The following is a 19,083-nucleotide window of genomic DNA, read 5'->3' on the forward strand; positions in this document are numbered from 1 at the left end:
AATAACCATCAAAACAAAATAAATGATAGTAGACATATGACTCTCTTTTCCCTTTCTTCAAACCAATAAATTAACTAAATTAAAAACAGAAATGCAACAATATGTTTTGCCCTATATCTTTATAGCACTTTACAATGATTGTATGAAGTTGAGAACAGTAACATGAGATACTATTCAAGATGATTCACCGTACTCTGTTTCCTCAGGTAAAGAATTTGTATGATATGTTTCAGAAAGATATTTTTTAATAAATAAATTTTAGAATTACATATTTTGGGACCAAATTTAAAAATATAATACAAACTAGTGGTAACATCTAACATCTAAAGTAATAAGACCACAGTAAATAAAGTTATCTCCCCCAATAGCATGGGTAATGTTCTACCACTGCACCCTGCAGGTCCTCCTTCCCTTTTCTCTACCCCTTCTCCCCTCCCCTGTGCCCCTACACCTCTCCTTCCCTCCTTCTCTCCTCTCCTATTAAGAATTACTGCTATTCACAGGACTGGGGCATATCTCAGTGTTGTCTTTGGCAAGGAAAAGTAGTTGAGAACTATTGGTGTGGAAGTATTAAACCGCATTTCAGAAAATGTGGGTTTTGCTTCTTCAAACTAATTAGCTGAATCACTTGGTCTGCATTTCTTACATGTAAAATGAAAAGGTTGAACTAGACAAATATATGTTTTTAGATTTTTTTTTTTCCAACTTTGATTTTTTTTTTCTTATGATTCTTGAGTCTTAGCAAAACCCAGAATTTGGAAGCCTAACAGATTGTCTGCATAATCTATTTTATATAGTCTCTATATTACGTCCACCCTATAATATTAGGTTGGTGTACAAGTAATTGCGGTTTCATACCATGAATTTTAAATCATTATAACTAGGCTCAAACACACCTTTATTAATCAAAATAGGAACCATTACAATCAATACATTTTTGCCAACGAGAAGTGTGTTTATTCCAGTAGCATAAAAATCTGTGCTTCAGGGTGTGATGAACTCTTGGAAAACATTTTCTGCATCCTGCTGGTGGTGGAAGCAATTTCACTGCAAACAGTCGTCAAGATACTTAAAGAAGTGGCAGTTGGTTGGCAAGAGGTCGGGTGAATATGGCGGAGGAGGCAAAACTTCATAGCCCAATTCATTCAACTTTTGAAGCGTTGGTTGTGCGATGTGCGGACGAGTGTTGTTGTGGAGAAGAATTGGGCCCTTTCTGCTGACCAGTGCCAGCTGCAGGCCTTGCAGTTTTCAGTGCATCTCATTGATTTGCTGAGCAGACTTCTCAGATGTAGTGGTTTCACCAGGATTCAGAAAGCTGTAGTGGATCAGACCAGCAGCAGACCACCAGACAGTGACCATGACCTTTTTTTGGTGCAAGTTTGGCTTTGGGAAGTGCTTTGCAGCTTCTCCTCAGTCCAACCACTGAGCTGCTCCTCATCAGTTGTTGTATACAATCCACTTTTTATCGCACATCACAATCTGATCAAGAAATGGTTTGTTGTTGTTGCATAGAATAAGAGAAGATGACATTTCAAACAATTTTTTTGATTTCCGGTCAGCTCATGAGGCACCCACTTATCGAGCTTTTTCACCTTTCCAATTTGCTTCAAATGCTGAATGAACGTAGAATGGTCGACGTTGAGTTCTTCGGCATCTTCTCATGTAGTTGTAAAAGGATCAGCTTCAATGATTGCTCTCAATCGGTCATTGTCAACTTCTGATCGCCGGCCAGTACGCTTCTCATCTTCAAGGCTCTCCTCTCCTTTGCAAAACTTATTGAACCACCGCTGCGCTGTCTGTTCATTAGCAGTTCCTGGGCCAAATGTGTTGTTGATGTTCTGAGTTGTCTCCGCTGCTTTAAGACCCATTTTGAACTCAAATAAGAAGATTTCTCAAATTTACTTTATGTCTAACATCATTTCCATTGTCTAAGATAAACATAAACAGCAAGTAATAAGTCATTAGCAAAAAAATATAAGGTGAGAAATGCCCATTAAAATGATTTATAACATAACCATATTTATGTAAGAATGTATTCCAATATCAAATGGCAAATTCCAACAATGCAAAAATTGGAATTCCTTTTTCACTTTTCTAATTTTAAGGCAGGGACTATCTATTTATCTTGTAAATCTCAAATGATCAAATGAAAAGCATTTTGCAAAGTTGACACCTAGAAAGATTGCAAATTCAAAGCAATTTGTTAGCCTGGTTAACATAGTGAGACCCTGTCTCTAATTAAAAAAAAAAAAAAACAAAACACGTGAAAATAAATTAGCCAGGTTTGGTGGTGCAAGCCTGTATTCCCAGATTCTTGGGAGACTGAGGCAAGAGGTTAGCTTGAGCCCAAGAGTTCGAGGGAGCACTGAGCTGTGATCACGCCACTGCATTCCAGCCTGGGTGACAGACTAAGACCCTGTCTCTAAAAAAAGGAAATTGTTCAGATTAAGGAGGATATAAAATTATTTTGGCAAACACCATTTACTTGGTTCTTTGAAGTTCTTATTGCCTTTAATAGGTACAGTTTTTATTTAGATGTATAAATTTCAATGGCATATCATAAATAACTTAATGATAATGACATATAATGACATAGTTGAAGGTAAGAAGTATACCTTAATCCAGTGGCTTTACCACATTTTCCTGTAATTTTCTTGGCTATATCTCCTCTGACTTTTAGTCTGAGGATTAAATGGTCCTGAGTGCAATTTTGTCTCAATCTCTAAAAGAAAAGGTCACTATTTTAAAAGCAAAGCAGTATTTTCCCCAGAATTCCCAGCACATTTCATTGATACGAATTTTATCTCAGGCACATTCCTGAATGAATCCCAGTTTCCACGAAAATGCTACATTCTGATTGGCTTAGGTCTGAGTTCCTGATGTATTTATTGGAATACATTTATTGAAGCATTTATTGGAGAATGAAAAGGTATTTCCCTTTGATTAGCCACGCTCTATTCTAGAACTGGTTCCAGCGTTAGTTTTTTGTGAGCTTTACTGACTGCGTGAGAGAAGAGTTGATTCCTGAACAAAATCAGTATTCTTTTGGAAAGAGAGTGGGGTTAAGTCCTGAGTAGCAACATGCACTGTAGTTCGCACCTTTTGCTCCCTAACATTCATACACATCCTTTTCCTATACGTGTTCTTAACTAAAACTTGCTCTTAAACAAACCATCCTCGCCACTTCCCTGAAGAGGGATACTCAAAGTCTCATTCAATTCCAAGACCAGGATCTTAGATGATACATAGATTATATATCTGGGTGGTATATACTCCTCTCTGTGGGATCTAGTGTAGCTCTTTATGGTCTTGCAACCTGTAACTAAAAAGTAACTCACCTATGTCTATTCATAATACTGGAGGAAGAACAGGATGATGCAATGAAAAAATCTCATCGTAAAAGGAAAATAATAGAAAACAACACATATTGGTCATTCTTTCATAATCCAGGAATGGTAAACACCCCCTGTACTTGGTAGGAAGTTAATTTCTTAGCATATTTGATAGCAAGTGATTTTTAGCTCTGAGAATCTCTCTCCTTTCCTTGTTTTTTAATGCCACATCTGGGGTTGCTTTTAGGAAGGACCATTCATTTCCAGTAGCTCTCTCTCAGTTAATGCAAGGTTGGGTAGGAGAGATCTCAGGTTGCTTTGGAACAGTGGTTCTCGGCATGGTCCGGAGACCAGAAGCAATAGCATCATTTGAACGGCAAATTTTTGGGTGTCAGCACAGACTTCCTGAATGAGAACAGGAAATCCAGCGATCTGTGCTTTGATAAGAACTCCCAGAGCATCTGATGCGTTCTCTAAGAATCATTGACATAGACATTCAGCAGGTTTTTGTGGTTTCTTTGGAAAATCAGCTCCCTTAAGTGGACTAAGTGGAATATCAGTCTGTTTGTTATGGTCAGTTCCATTTACGGTGACAATAGCCAGAAACCTTGCCTGGTCATCCTTTCTGCACCTGGGAATTTTTCTATTATAGCGAGAAGCCTCTACCTAAACTTCAGGACCTTAATTGAAAGGCCAATACCATGTTTTGGCCTCAGCTTGTCCCTTGCCTTTAGGCTACATCTCAGCTGCATTTTCACAATGAACTGTTTTGTCTTTGTTAGGCAAGAGGATGCTTAGCTGTGCTTGGGAAAGGACAACTGTGGGGGTGGGAGTTAGATGTCCTCTGGGTTCCAATCTCATCTCCTATGGAATTTCTAACATACCAGCTTCTGTTTTCACGAACCTAAGCTTGGCTTCTGGGATTTGGCCTTTTGTTTGGTTGGTTTATTTTTGTTTTAACCCTATTGGAGTCCACATTACCAGACTTTTAGCATTTGGGGGTTATAAAGGCAAAGAGGACCTCTCGTATCAATGCTGTATTTTCTCCCTTCTCTTCTTTCAGACTAAGCTTATCTTTATCTAGACTAGAAAAAATAGGCAACACATTTCATCATTGTTAATTTTTCTACCATTTAAGTTTCTTTTAGTTGAAGCAACTATAGTATAATGTTTAGAGTAGTCATGAAATTTAAGGCATTAGCTTATTGTTTGAGAGTTCTGATGTTACCTTCTCCCACATCGGAGTTAGAAATTGGCATTATGGATGAGGACAGGAAGCAAAATAGAAAAGGCAAGTCCATTCTCTCTTGTCTAGCCTTTCTGTCTCCCTCTATCACCCCATAGTGCCATAGCTTCACAGGAAACAGCTAGCAAACACAAATCCATGGAGTAGTGCTAAGCAATGTGCTATTGACACACTGTGTAGTGTTGATGAAAAAAGCCAGACAAAAAGAGTACGTACTCTATGATTCCATTTATATAAAATTATTGAAAACCAATTTATCCTGCATACTAATTTATAGTGAAAGAAAGAACAATAATTTCCTGGGCACTTGGGTAGAGGGTTTAGAGGGAGAGGTGACAGAGAGACACAAGGAAACCTTTAGGGACAATGGATATGTTCATTATCATGATTGTGGCAATGTTTCACAGATGTATTCATATGTCAACACTTACCAAATTATACTTTTTAAATATGTACAGTTTATTTTGTGTCAATTTTACCTCAATAAAGCGAAGATTATTAAAATAATTATTTATTAAAGTAATACATACTAAGCAATAAACAAGGTACCTCCTTCCCCACAAAAGGAGCCTTTTGAGTCTTCTTAGAATTAGGAAGAGGTAGGTGCAGACATGAAATCTGGCAGTTAATTAGCCTGTGTACTGGAACTCCTTTGCTTTGCTTTGCTTTGTTTGTCTTGTCTTGTCTTGTCTTGTCTTGTCTTGTCTTGTCTTTTGTCTTGTCTTGTCTTGTCTTGTCTCTTTTCTTTTTTTTTGAGGTAGAGTTTCATTCTTGTCAGCCAGGCTAGAGTGCAGTGGCATGATCTCAGTTTGCTGCAACCTCTGCCTCCTGAATTCAAGTGATTCTCCTGCCTCATCTTCTCCAGTAGCTGGGATTACAGGCGTGCGCCACCAGGCCCAGCTAATTTTTTTGTATTTTTAGTAGAGCCAGGGTTTTGCTGTGTTGGCCCAGCTGATCTTGAACTGCTGACCTCAAGTGATCCACCTGCCTCGGCCTCGCAAAGTCCTGGGATTATAGGCATGAGTCACTGCGCCTGGCCTGGAACCCCTTTTCAACTTCAGTTTTCATATCTGAAAAATGGAGCTTCTACTACCGGCACCAAGAATCTGCTGGTTGTGCTTATCAAAATGAGATGTATATGAGGGAGCCCTGCTTTGTGTACTTTACATGAGCAACTACCCTTTCTCTTCTCCTTCCTTCTCCTGGCTGTTGTAAAAGGGACCCATGGGTTTCTGCTCCCTCAAGCCTCCTTTTTACTCCCTCCTATGTAGATGAAAAAGGAAAGCAGGAGTGTACCTCCTATGAATAGCCCACACCTGCACTTTTCGATAGTGACTCGGTAGAGTAACTATTTCATTCACTTGGACATGACCTCAAGATTTAGCAGTGGGAAAAGAAAAGCATCGAAGTAAATCAAACTGACGATTATGTTACAAAGGCTATCTGATTTGCTGAGTTCCAGCCATCATATTACCAAAAATATAATGTTTGCATATTATACAAACATTTTCATTTTTAAAAAAGCAGCACCGTCACTAAGTTAGTTATATATAAAAATTCAGCGTAAGTTGCAGTTATTCTGTAGCATATTCAGTGGCATTACAGTTGAAAAGAATAGAATCTGGGAATCCAGGTCTTTCTTATGATTCACTTTTGTCTCTGTCATAGGTTGGCTTTTTAGGGTTATACTCCATGAATATCACCACCTCTTGGGATGGAAGTTCTCAGCTGGCACATTCCTTGCTCATCTCTGAAATACTGTTCTTTAATGTTCTTATTTAAGTTCTTAAATTGACGTATTTCCTCTGTTGAGATGCATTTTTTCCCTTTTCCATCCAAATGTTTCTGAAAACAGCACAATTCTTTATAAAGGAATATACATTCCTTTAAATACATCTTGTATTTAATGGGGGTAGTTTTTATCATTCCCTTCTCCTGTTCCAATAAAGAAAAGAGCTCTCACTGAATTGATAGGGATTCTATCCATCAGTCAAGGAAAAGAGGTGTAATGTGTATGTAGGAGAAGAGGCACTAAACCACTGTGCAGCTGAGGTCCGCGTGGGAAAGGTTTCTTCTCATGGATATTTGGGTAGTCGCCTTGATAGCCAGTGGACTGTGTGCTAAGGCCCTACCAGTTCCCTCATTTTCTCTCTCTGGTAAATGCTACTTTGTCCTGGCCCTGCGTTAGGTAGTAATCTCCAAGTCAAAGATGGGCAGTTGAATTTTACTGAAATTATTACAATGTTGATTAAAATTGTTAGCTCTCGAATTTGGAGAATTTGTTGAAGTTAAAATGGTGGGTAATTACATAAATGCTTAGGCACTACTTTTTCATTTCACTTTAAAACATGTCATCTCTCTTCCTTATGTGATTGCTCACACCATTATTTGACCCAAACAATTTAAGTTTTTTCCCACACAGGTTAGAAATTTAAGTTTTATCTGAATTTAGCTTTCTAGTTTCAATGCCCTTGAAATATAAGATTTTTTTTTTCTTTCCCAGGATGTTTTGACTCATGTTAGAACAATACCTTTTATCCCAGGCGCCAAAATATGGTACCTGTTACATGTTATAGAATTAGCCTCAACCACTGTTTCCTGTGAGATTTCACCTCAGCAGACGTCAGCCTCCATAACCACTGAGAGAACAAAAACAATAGTTTTGTTCACTAATACTCCTTTGCTTTTAGAGTATATTTTATGGTCCATTATTCAGGTTTTTTGGTTGGTATATTTTGCCTGTGGCTTAGTCAGATTTTCAGATTAACCCTTAGGTAAGTCTTTGCTAGAGACCACTTTCCCATAAGTTGACCTTTAGAATATCTGAAAGTACAGATTTAGTTTTGCTTAGTTTAACAGCAGACGAGTGTTAACTATTAATCTGCAGAAATAAATATTTCTAATACTAGCATAAATTTGGCTTCACTTCAGCATATAATAATAATAATAATAATACTTTTTATAAATATATATATGCCTTGTTTTCATTCCTGCAAATTCTAATTCAGTAAATCTGATAAGGGGGCCAGGTATGTGTACCTAAAAAGAAAAAACAAAAACAACCTACAACCCCAAAACCAAACAAACCAGACATAGAGAACAGTTAGGGGTGGAGCTGGGAAGAAATTGTGTGTGTGTGTGTGTGTGTGTGTGTGTGTGTGTGTGTGTGTGTATACTTCTATGTATATGATTTTTATATATGTATACATCTACTTGTATATATGTATACATCTACTTTTATATATGTATACATCCATTTTTATAGATGTATACATCTACTTTACATAATTTTAAAACAGTATTTGTTACTGCTTTTTAAACTTTATGGTATATTAGGAATATATCTTACATGGCAGAATTATATTCTTAAAGGATAAATTATATGTCTATTTATATGTATAATGTATACATATATTATGTAAATAAAATCTCCTACTATGGTAGGAAGTGTATAGTTGTGTTCACAGTTCCTGTTTCGTTTTCAGCTTGGACATTCGTAAGTTAGCTCAAGTCTGTAGCACAGTGTCACTTTGTCTGGGTCTCAGCTTGAATGGCCAACCAGGTGTCTATGTCACAAACATTATTTGACAATTACAGCTGTCTCTACTGCTGTCTTTGGAAAGTATAGATAATATCTTAGCCTTAATTTTTGTCTGCTGTCATTGCTTTATAAAACTAAAAATAACAACGAAGGTGGAACAAAAGAAAATTTTCGGAAAAGTATGTACTTTATGGTTGACGGAATTTCATTATCTTTTACCATGCTATTTTAGTAAACACATTTAGAAAACAGTTGTTGCTATTAAGGGTGTGGGACTTTGTCTCCCAGGGAGTAAGCTGCTAGCTACAAATAGAACACATTGAAAATCCAACTGGAGAGGCCCGGGTGCAGTGGTTCACGCCTGTAATCCCAGCACTTTGGAAGGCTGAGGTGGGCAGATCAGCTGAGGTCAGGAGATCGAGACCATCCTGGCTAACACGGTGAAACCCCGTCTCTATTAAAAATACAAAAAAATTAGCCAGGTGTGGTGGCGGGTGCCTGTAGTCCCAGCTACTTGGGAGGCTGAGGCAGGAGAATGGTGTGAACCTGGGAGGCGGAGCTTGCAGTGAGCCCAGATCACACCACTGCACACCAGCCTGGGAGACAGAGCGAGACTCCATCTCAAAAAAAAAAAAAAAATTCTAACTGGAATGATCACTGCTACTTATTAATTATATTTATTCTACATATTGTGTGTCAATTGACATATTAGCTGATTCAAACCAATATTCAGTTAAAAGAGGCCATTTTCTTGCTTTTTTTTTCCCCCTGTACATCTTTAATTCTAAAGATCAATATAGAAATGTAAGGAAAACTTAGGAAGATGTTAAAGAATCACCTACAGCAACAGTTTCTGTAGAACTCGATGGATTTTTTTGCTGGCCTGTGATAAAATGAGAAATATAAGGAAAATATAATGAGATTTTTATGAAGCTACATTTGTGAGCCTTCATTATGACATTCCTCCTGTTTTGTTGTTTAAAATGTGCTATTTTTTGAAAAACAGTAATGATAGTACAAGATAGTTTAACTTTTTTTGTCCTATCTTGGCAAAATAACAAATCGGTAGCCTATTTGATGTCCAGTTATGTGTGTGTGCATTTTAAGTGTGTTGCTCTGTGACATCCCAGCATCGGAAACTACTGATAGAAACTGGAAAAATAGTTACTATTGAAAATGGATGGTCTTTGATAGACTATCAGGCCCTTTATTTCTCTTGTTGCATAGTCTGCTTGGAATGGTGTACAGATTGTAGTGTGTTTATACCCTGTGTAGGGTCCCTTGTCTTACAGCTCTCGTCTCCAAGCTTTACTTTCCTGTTCCCAGCTTCCTGACCTCTAAGACAAGATTGTTGATCCTTTGTCTGGCAAGATCTGCATTATTGCTCTGTACCTTCTCGATTCCTGACTTCCATTTCCCTGCTTCATTGTATTTTACTGGATACCTTTCTGCCTAGCACTCCTCCTAGCTGTGTAGCCCAGTATTGGCTTGTCAACTGGTCTGTCCATTATGAAATCACCAAGAGATTTGTGTATTTATTGTTATTCTAATAGTATACAAGTCACTGTGTTAAATGCTATAGCAGATAGTAAATAAGGAAGATAATACCTGTTCCTTAAGAATATTGAGATAAGCATGCAACTAATCATGTATTCTTACACAGAATAAGTCAGTGTTTCTTAAGAGAAGTACAGAGTACAATTGGTGATAAAGGAAATTCAAATGCAATTGGAAGGATCTTTGACTTGGCTGGCTGTATAACTTTGAGCAAGTTTCTTGATCTTTTTGAGCCTCAGTTTCCTCTACGGAAGAATAATAATGCTTATATCAAGATTGCTGTGAGGGTAAATGAAACAATTAATGTAAAATGCATAACTGAGTTTCTGGCAAGCATTTGGCAGCTGTCTTTTACTATCACTGGCCACTTCTCCCCTCAAACTATTTTAAAGATTGTGATGATTTTTTACAGGGATTGAGAGGTGATAAGTATAATTCTTTCAAGTAAAGTGAATAACAAAAAAAGGTACAGAGTTAAAATATGCTGGAACAACATTTTGGAGCAAAGGATGTAGCTGATGGGAATAGAGTAAGAGCAAATACAGCTGCAATTGTGTTTCAATTTAGTACACATATTTTAATGCAGGGGAAACTAACTCCGAAAGTTCACAATTGAAGATAGAGACAGGAGAGACGATTGAGTCAGTCACCCAAGTGGAGGGATTTCATTTTAGGCAAGAGGAGTTTTGGGCACAGGAAGCTTAAAGAAGGTAGGGTTTTGGAAGTATATTCAGCTAATTTTTCAACTATGTCATTTTTCCATTGCTTGTTGAGAATTTTGATCTTGACAAACAGGTATTATGTTATCATTTGAAGATCTTATCAGATTCTGTTGGTATGAGTATCTCCTGTATTCGTTTGAAAGATCAAAAAGTAATTTTCCTGGAAAAACAGTTAAACCAAGATGAGGGCTCACAGTAGGCTATATTTAACAATGAAGTCTGGCACAGCCTACATTGTGTGAACTTTTGGTTTCTTGGGTTTTTGTTTTTTCTTCACTTGATGGTGTTTCAGTTTGGAAGAATGTGGCTAGACCACAGTATGGCTTTTCCAAGATTTAGTTCTTGTTAAGGGCTTATTATTTTGTAACATTGGTTTTTTGTTTTTGTGGAGACAAGGTCTCACTATGTTGCTCAGGCTGGTCTCGAATTCCTGAGCTCAAGCAACCCTCTTGCCTCAGCCTCCCAAAGTGCTAGGATCACAGGCGTGAGCCACCATGCCTGGCCATTTTGTAACATTTGAAGCTTTGAGAAAGATCATACTCTATCAATTTATGAAAAACAAATCATGATTAAATTATGTGAGTGGAATGGAAAGTGGAGGCTGTGAGTATTAATGCTTGAGTCCAAATGGTTTTTGCATATTCAGGTTATCTTTGACCTGAAGCAGAGAAAACCAGAAGACTGTGTCACATTAGTCACCTTTTTTCCCCCATTAAAAAAAGATACCAGTATGAGTGACTTTTTAAGAGTATAACTCTGATTTTTAAATTATTTCAGAACTTGTAATATCTAAAGATGCTCTTTACAAAAAAAGAATAGGTATGTTAAAACTTTTAGTTTTCACTTGCTTTATGTGGTTTGGATATTAAGTTGACCATTATGTGTTTACACCCTTTGAAGTATTTTAATTTGTGAAAATTCATTGTTATTTCATTTGTTTAGTCTATGTAATTTAAAAATATTCTACCATAGGTGTTTCTTAAGACTTCAGGGTTGAACTGGGCGTGATGGCTCACGCCTGTCATCCCAACCCTTTGGGAGGCTGAGACAGGAGGATAACTTGAGGGACCCAGCCTGGGTAACATAGTGAGACCCTGTCTTTACAAAAAAAACCTTTTTTACAAAAATAAAAATAATAAAAAATAAAACTCTCCTGGGTTATACTGCCAGATTAAATACTTAAGCTCTCTCTGCTTTTGAGGGTTTTAGTCATTCTTGGTCTCTGGCCATGTAACAACCTGTGCAAAGATTAGTAGGTATTGTGTGCTAGCTTTATCCTTGCATCAGGACAGTCTAGGCCTATTTGGATTTTGCATCTTCCTTGTAGTTCAACAGCCATCTCATTTTGGTTTTGGCTTTCTGCAGTCAACCTTCAAAGATCTTTTGTTTTCTGACAGTTGAAGAAACTGGCTCAGTGTTCTTTCTCCTAGACAATTATTTAATTGTTTACAGATAACTGAAACTATCTTCTAAAGGTTTCTATTGTGAATTTCTTTATTTTATAGGAAGCTTCTTATGTTGAAATGATTGGTCAACATAATTCTTGGTGATTAGAAAAACTGTTTTTCAACCAAATAGCATCAAAATGCTTATTCTTTCTTTTCTGATTTTACACTGCATGGCTTTTTTCTGTGTATTATAACAAATCTCTTCTTTTTAAAGCTAAGACAATAGCAAATTAGATGCTTGAGTTGGTACTGTTATAGCAAGTTTAAAGAAACGTACTCTTGTACCCTATAAATATATACACTTACTATGTACCCACAAAAATTAAAAATAAACATACAAGCAGTCAAAAAAATGTGCTCTTAAGAAATTTTTACTTTCTTAAGATAATATACAGTATTATTTTGATAACTGTGGATAGGATGAACCCGTCTTATACAATAAAGAGTTTAGAACTTCAAAACTATCATGTTGGCTGGGTGTGGTGGCTCACGCCTGTAATCCCAGCACTTTGGGAGGCCAAGGCGGGTGGATCACCTGAGGCTGGGAGTTCGAGACCAGCCTGACCAACATGGAGAAACCCTGTCTCTACTAAAAATACAAAATTAGCCAGGCGTAGTGGCAGGTACCTGTAGTCCCAGCTACTCGGGAGCCTGAGGCAGGAGAATCGCTTGAACCCGGGAGGCAGAGGTTGCAGTGAGCCGAGATCACGACATTGCACTTCAGTCTGGGCAACAGGAACGAAACTCCGTCTCAAAAACAAACAAACAAAAAATCAAAAAATTATCATGTCAACAACTATAATTAACCCCAAGGGAACAATTTAACACAGAGTTTTTTGAATTCTTCATGTAATATTCTTAGTTGCTTATTTTGAGCATTATAAATGTTTCAGAATATCACTTTGTTTATTTAAACTTTTTGGTACAGTTTCATGAGTGATTTTCCGTGGGGAATACATTTCCATCTTTATTAAGTGAAACAGTAGGAAAATGTGATTTGGTTTCCACAGTTGACTTTTAAGCCAACCTGTCAGCAACACATCTGTCCATAAAGTTGAGTACACCTGGGACATGATAATGCATAATTATTTCCTCACAGAATTGTTTAATAGTCACATTAACCTACCAGTAGCCAACACTTACTGATTGCTTACTAGATACAGACACCATTCTGAGTATTTTACATGTATCAATTCATTTATGTTATAAATTTTAAAATATGTTTCTTTTCTCTTTTTCTTCCCCTGCCCTTTCCCCCTGCTAGTGTTCCTTAAGACAGTTACTTTTCATAAACAGCCCAAGTCAGAAATATTAGCACAGATTGAATATCCCTTATCTGAAATGCTTGGAACCAGCATTTCAGATAAGGGATTTTGAATTTTTTTTTTCTTCAGTTTTTGTAATATTTGCAGATAGATAGATAGATATCCTGGGGATGAGATCCAACTCCAAACACAAAATTCATTTATGTTTCATGTGCACCTTATACGCATAGCTTGAAGGTAATTTACATAATATTTTAAAAATAATTTTGTGCATGAAGCAAAATTTTGACTGCATTTTGATTGCAACCCATCACATGAGGTCAGGTGTGGAATTTTTTTCTTGTAGTGTCATGTTGTTGCTCAAAAAGTTTCAGATTTGGGAGGATTTCAGATTTTCAGATTAGGAATGGTCAACCAATAGCTTCCATTAAGATTGTTCACTTAATTTATGGAGCTTTCCATTGGTTATAGGACAAATAAGGGAAAGGGATCACAAGAAATGAGGTAGTATTAGAAGGAGAGATGACAGGTTCCCTGGAAGGGTACTGATTTAACTTGGGTGAATGCCAGTCATACGTGGGAATCACAGCTTCATGACAAGGCCTGCTGCATTGACTGGGCCATGGAGACACTCGAGGAAAAAAAAACAGAGAGAACCCTGGTCTTCCAGTGTACCATAAACAGCTTTGAGAACCTGAGCTATGGAATTTAAAATGACGTGTCAAGTCCGATGAAGTGACATGTTTTCACACAGAACCAGCAGGAGGATGAAAAACAGAAATTGTAAACAAGGATGAAAGTGACAGGTTTAGGACACTGGATGGACAAGAAGCCTGGCCTTAGATTTCCAAAGAATAAAAGAGAGAAACACATATTTTAATTAAATAGCTTCATATTTAGCTTCAAGAAGATGAGTACTGGCCATATATTTGAATATATATGCTATATTAGTTTAAATCTCATGTCAGATGATTTGCAGGTCTTTTTATTTGCATGTTTATGCAGCTAAGATGTTTGGCGCTCAGTTCTTGTGGGAGGGGGCAGCTTGGTATGGAAAGAACTTGGAGTTTGAAATCTCACTGTCCTGGATTTGAATCTCAGCTGTTACATGGCCTTGAGCAGGCTACTTATCTGATTTTTTGAGGTGGATTCTTGTCTGTAAGATCAAGATAGGGAAACCCAACTCTGAAAGGGTTAAATGAGATAAGGCATATAAAATATCAGTAACAGGCTCACTGGCTCACACCTGTAATCCCAGCACTTTGGGAGGCCGAGAGGGGAGGGTCGCTTGAGCCCAGGAGTTTGAGACCAACCTGGGCAACATAGCGAGACCCCGTTTCTATTAAAAAAAAAAAGAAACAGAAAAACAAAAACAAAAAAAAGAAAATATCGACAACAGTGTCTGATGCTCAGTAAGGGCTAAACAAAATTGAGTTACTCTACCAAGGAAACGACAATAGAATGGTTTTCCCTTTCCCCTTGTTATAGAAAGGGCAGAATATGTAAAGAGAAGACATAGAACAACTGGGAGACTAGAACCTCTATTTGTAAGAGAAGCCACAATTTGTGTTTATTTTAAAAATGTAAATTACTTAGGAGGAAAAGAGTGTTAGCAGTTCAAGATTATGTGGTCGGTTAAATAGTTAAACACGTTTTAAAATGTATGTTACTTTACTTAAGGATCCCATGCGAAAATTCTCAGAAATTAAGCATTGCATATTTGACTGCTGAGTACAGTGATTCATATGTATCTTAAAGTCACATATTCATAAAATTACACATGGATCAGATTCAATTGTTAAAAGTACAATTTTTCTCAATATGAAATTTTAAAGCATTTGTGTACTATGGTCTTTTTAAAGCCTTGCTACTCATTATAGCAATCGAATCACTGAAGAAATGTTCCTTTTTGTTTGGTTCAATGTTATTGAGTCTTATCTTTTTGATATAGGACTATTTTTTATTTTGTAACTGTGTCTTTTATTTTGTAATAAATTTGTTTAAGGTATATTTTAATATTATAAGAGTAGAACCAATATTTTAGTTTTAAAAAGACAATTCTATATCATGTCTAAATACTATTGGGAAATATGCCTATTTTTTAATTTTTTAAAGCTAGTATTGCCATTCTACTTTTTTTACTTTGATTAATGTAGTCTCAGAGAATTATTCATTGAACATGCTTTAATATTTTTTCCTGATTTCAAGGAGTGAAAAAAGATTATCTAAAAATTTCTAAGGTTGTATTTTCTTATGAGAATGCTATATTATCTACTTATTTATTCTTATATCATTAGTTAAAAGTTAAATGAGTATGTGTTATCATTTCTGAATACTATAGTGTGTATAAGGAATACCAGAACTTTCTAGTTATGATGGCCAAAGTAATGTCAGTAGTTTATGAAAAAGTAATTTAGGTCTTGAATTTCTTTTGATTAGTCATTGTAAGCATTTTTAAACTTTCTTCCTCATAGATTTGTGCACTTTTAGATAATGTGTGATTTGTACAGTCATTCTTGAGTAGTTGAAACTTAAAAGAATTGCAAATTTTTGTGCCTGGTGGAGATAAAATAACTCTGAGGCATGGTAGATACTTGGTTTTTGAATCTCTTGTATAAACCAAGCAAATGTTTCTGAAAGAGCACTTTTGTGTATGTTTTGAGGTATCCCCATGTTAAGTATATGCTATCTTTAGAAATTTGAGTCTTATTTATTGTTATCATTTGAACAGGTGTCTCAATGCTTGTACCTACTGCAAAACTAAACACGCCAGAGGAAATTTGGCCAGTTATCCAATTGATGAACTAGTAGATAGAGCCAAACAATCTTTTCAAGGTAAGAGTTTCTAGAATTATATGTGAAATTAGTCTTCTTAATAAATTATGTTAGCCTTCTAAGTAATACTTCAGTTTAGAGACCAACTTCTTTAGTTTTCTGAAGAGTTTTACAAATATACGAACTTAATTAATAAAAGATGTGACCAGAGTTAATCACTTAGTTTATTTTTACATTAATGACTCTTCTTTTACTACGCTTCTGTTTTCTTATCACTCTAAGGTAAATGACATATTTTGAACTTTATCACCCACCTCTAGACTCCATGGAAAAGACAAAATTAAGATAAAATGAAATCCATGAGCCTCTGATGTCTGTTAAGATTTTTGTGGACAAGTGAAATACTCAGATTTTTCATCTCTTTCTTTGACATTTTTGGACCATTTAGAAAATAGAGCTAATTAGGGTTTGTAGACGTCTTTGAAGAAGATAAGTTTTCATATCAGCCAATAAAGGAGGCCACCCCTTTTAACCACATGACTGTCAGACCACTAAAGATTGGTACTGGGGGAGAGGCCTAATGAGAATGATTTGTGTGGGGTGGCCAACTACTTCTGAGTCATCACTTGCCGGGAAATGTGATTATCTAGGTCTCTCTCAGCATATATAGTAAGACTTATCTTTAACATGAGTGACAGTTGTGTGGACATATAACTGCTCAAACCATAAACTTCCTCTTTTGTCTTTGTTTATAGTATGTGCCTGTAACAGTGGTGTGTTTTTACTCCCAACATGAGATAATCTATTGTCTCATAATCTTGCAGGTTAATAGTTATTGGCAATGTACTTTTCTTTTTGTCAAGTAACTTGGAGTGCTAGTTTCAGTATTTCATACTCTGGGTCTCAGAAAGTATGAGTTCCAAATTCATTTTTTTGTTTAGTCTGTAGAAAACTTTTAGAAACATGAATTTGTAATGTTTCTCTTAATAGAGAAAAATATCTCCTTGTTTGATTTATTGATGCCTCCCAACAGTTTTTCTCTACTTGTATATTCTTAGCTCAGTCCCCTCCTCCTTTCACATTCAACTAGTATTGAGAGAGAAATAAAGGACATTTACTGACTCTTGCTAGCATTCTCCTTTTACAGCCAGATTATTGTCTAATCTAAGAAAAAGCCTGGGTGGTTGTCTTTACTACAGCATAACCAATACTTCCAAGGATTTTTTAAAAGGAGAAAAAATTTTCCCAGAAACTAAATCTATTTGAAAAAGTCTTTGCTGGCATTCTTAATTAGTGTTTGTTTTTCCATGTATCTGTCAGATAATGCGGATATTAAACATAGATGATCTATCTACCAAACACTGCAACTTAGAAGGCATGAAATTAGTACTTTTTTTAACATCATGCATTTCTAAGTGCAACTGCATATAATTTTTTTAAAAATCTATTTCATTTTACTTGAAAACGTTTTTGAAAAATGTAAAGCTGTAAAATCACCATGTAGAAAGTGAAAATCTCCTCTTCACTCGCTTACATCTATTTTCACCTGTAACTTATGCTAACATTTGGATATGATTGCTTCATGGCTTTATATGGACACATTTATGAATTATATGTGACTTGAGAAAAAAAGAAGACAGAACAGAAATATTACTGGTGGATGGTGTCCAGGTTCTTTGCGTTTTAAACAAAGAATTGGACAAAATGCACAAACAAAGCAAGGAAAGAATTAAGCAACAAAAGCAGAGATTTATTGAGAATGAAAATACACTCCACAGTGTGGGAGCAGGTCTGAGCAGTGGCTCAAGGGCCCGGATACAGAATCTCCTGAGATCCAAATACCCCCTAGATGTTTCCCACTGGCCATTTGGTGTTCATCCCATGTAAATGAAATGGTGGTCCATGGTCAGTCTGATTGGTTGTAGAGAGCAACCAATCAGAGGCTGAAGTGCAGTTACAAAGTTCATACTCCTATGCAAACATCCGATTGGTTATGGAAAGCTGAAGTGAAGTTACAAAGTTACATGCTTATGCAAACGTCTGACTGGTTGCAGAAAGCAAGCAATCAGAGATACTTTCAATTTGCCATCTGCCCTGCAGAAAAGATGGGGGTTTGCAAAGAGAGTAACCTCTGGTCCTTTTGTTACTTGCTGGAAAGTTGTTTTTTTTTTTTTTCCAATTTAGTTCTAGGAAGTCAGGGTGAATTGGCCTTAGGTTCCCTGCCTCCAGACCCTGTTCTCCTGCCTCAGAAACATAGTTTGTATAAAGTGATTATGACTTTTTCTAACAATATCCACCTTAGCTCTGTGATTTATCTTTAGAAATGCCCTCTGAGTAACCAATTTACAGCGTATTGCTTCTGTAGATCTTTAGTAAGTTAACATTGTCATATCCAGGTGGGTTGGACTAGTTAAGGCGAGTGATTCAAATAATGTATCAGAGGTTAGCAGTAACGTAGCTATTTTTAGAGAACGTATTAGAAGATTACTCTTATTAACATCAGTAAGATCTTTTTATTCCCAACCATGGAATGTTTGCAACATCAGGTTTTTCTGTTGCCTTATTATCTGTGTATTAGAATTGAAACTAAATGCTAGTTTTTGGACTGGTGAGCTAATTTGTGAGATAATCCAGTGTGTTCAGGAAATGTGGTTGTTTTTTTCTTTCTTTCTTTCTTTTTTTTTTTTTTGGTGACAGGGTCTCACACTGTATCACCCAGGCTGCAGTGTCATGGTACAGTCAGAGCTTACTGCAGCTTCAAACTGTTGGGCTCAAGCGATCCTCCTGCCTCAGCCTCCGCAGTAGTGGCGACTATAGCCATGCGCTACCAAGTCTGGCTAATTTTTAAATTTTTTAGAGAGAAAGAGTCTCCCTGTGTTTGCCAGGCTGGTCTCGAACTCCTGGCCTCAAGCCACCTTGGCCTCCCAAAGTGCTGGGATTACAGGTGTGAGCCACTGCACCCAGCCAGGAAAATTTTAAGTCCTCAAGTACTTGGTGCTTTTTGCTATAAGCAGTTTGGATTTGAAATACTGCTCTGTTGCTTACCAGCCACATGATGTGAACGTAGTATCTCACCTCTCCAAGCTTATGGCTTTCTCATCACTATAATATTTAATGTTTTTATTTTAAGAATTTGAGATAACATGTATAAAGTAATTGGCTATGTCAATATTATGAAGAAGAGACCAGGTGCCGTG

General features: G+C 36.6%; 1 protein-coding gene across 16 annotated transcripts in view, besides 3 other annotated features; it reads left to right on the forward strand.

Annotated features, from left to right (window-relative positions):
• CDKAL1 (CDKAL1 threonylcarbamoyladenosine tRNA methylthiotransferase) overlaps positions 1-19,083 on the forward strand; it is a 697,948-nt gene that overhangs the window by 295,776 nt on the left and 383,089 nt on the right. For all 16 annotated transcript variants that reach the window (XM_047418949.1, XM_047418952.1, NM_017774.3 and 13 more), the window contains one exon: positions 15,843-15,946. In XM_047418949.1, the coding sequence (XP_047274905.1) occupies positions 15,843-15,946 (104 nt within the window). The remainder of the gene's footprint in view (positions 1-15,842; positions 15,947-19,083) is intronic.
• Positions 3,753-3,953: a silencer, noted in NCBI's record as "peak5722 fragment used in MPRA reporter construct". NCBI's record gives its function as "represses an SCP1 promoter by STARR-seq MPRAs in K562 erythroleukemia cells {active_cell/tissue: K562}" and the evidence as "EXISTENCE:reporter gene assay evidence [ECO:0000049][PMID:32103011]".
• Positions 3,753-4,387: a biological region, named in NCBI's record as "NANOG hESC enhancer GRCh37_chr6:20834311-20834850".
• Positions 3,848-4,387: an enhancer, noted in NCBI's record as "NANOG hESC enhancer chr6:20834311-20834850 (GRCh37/hg19 assembly coordinates)". NCBI's record gives its function as "activates a minimal SCP1, AML or CMV promoter by ChIP-STARR-seq in primed H9 embryonic stem cells {active_cell/tissue: H9 hESC(primed)}" and the evidence as "EXISTENCE:reporter gene assay evidence [ECO:0000049][PMID:30033119]".

The sequence above is a fragment of the Homo sapiens genome, chromosome 6 (genome assembly GCF_000001405.40).
Source record: "Homo sapiens chromosome 6, GRCh38.p14 Primary Assembly".
Taxonomy (NCBI): domain Eukaryota; kingdom Metazoa; phylum Chordata; class Mammalia; order Primates; family Hominidae; genus Homo; species Homo sapiens.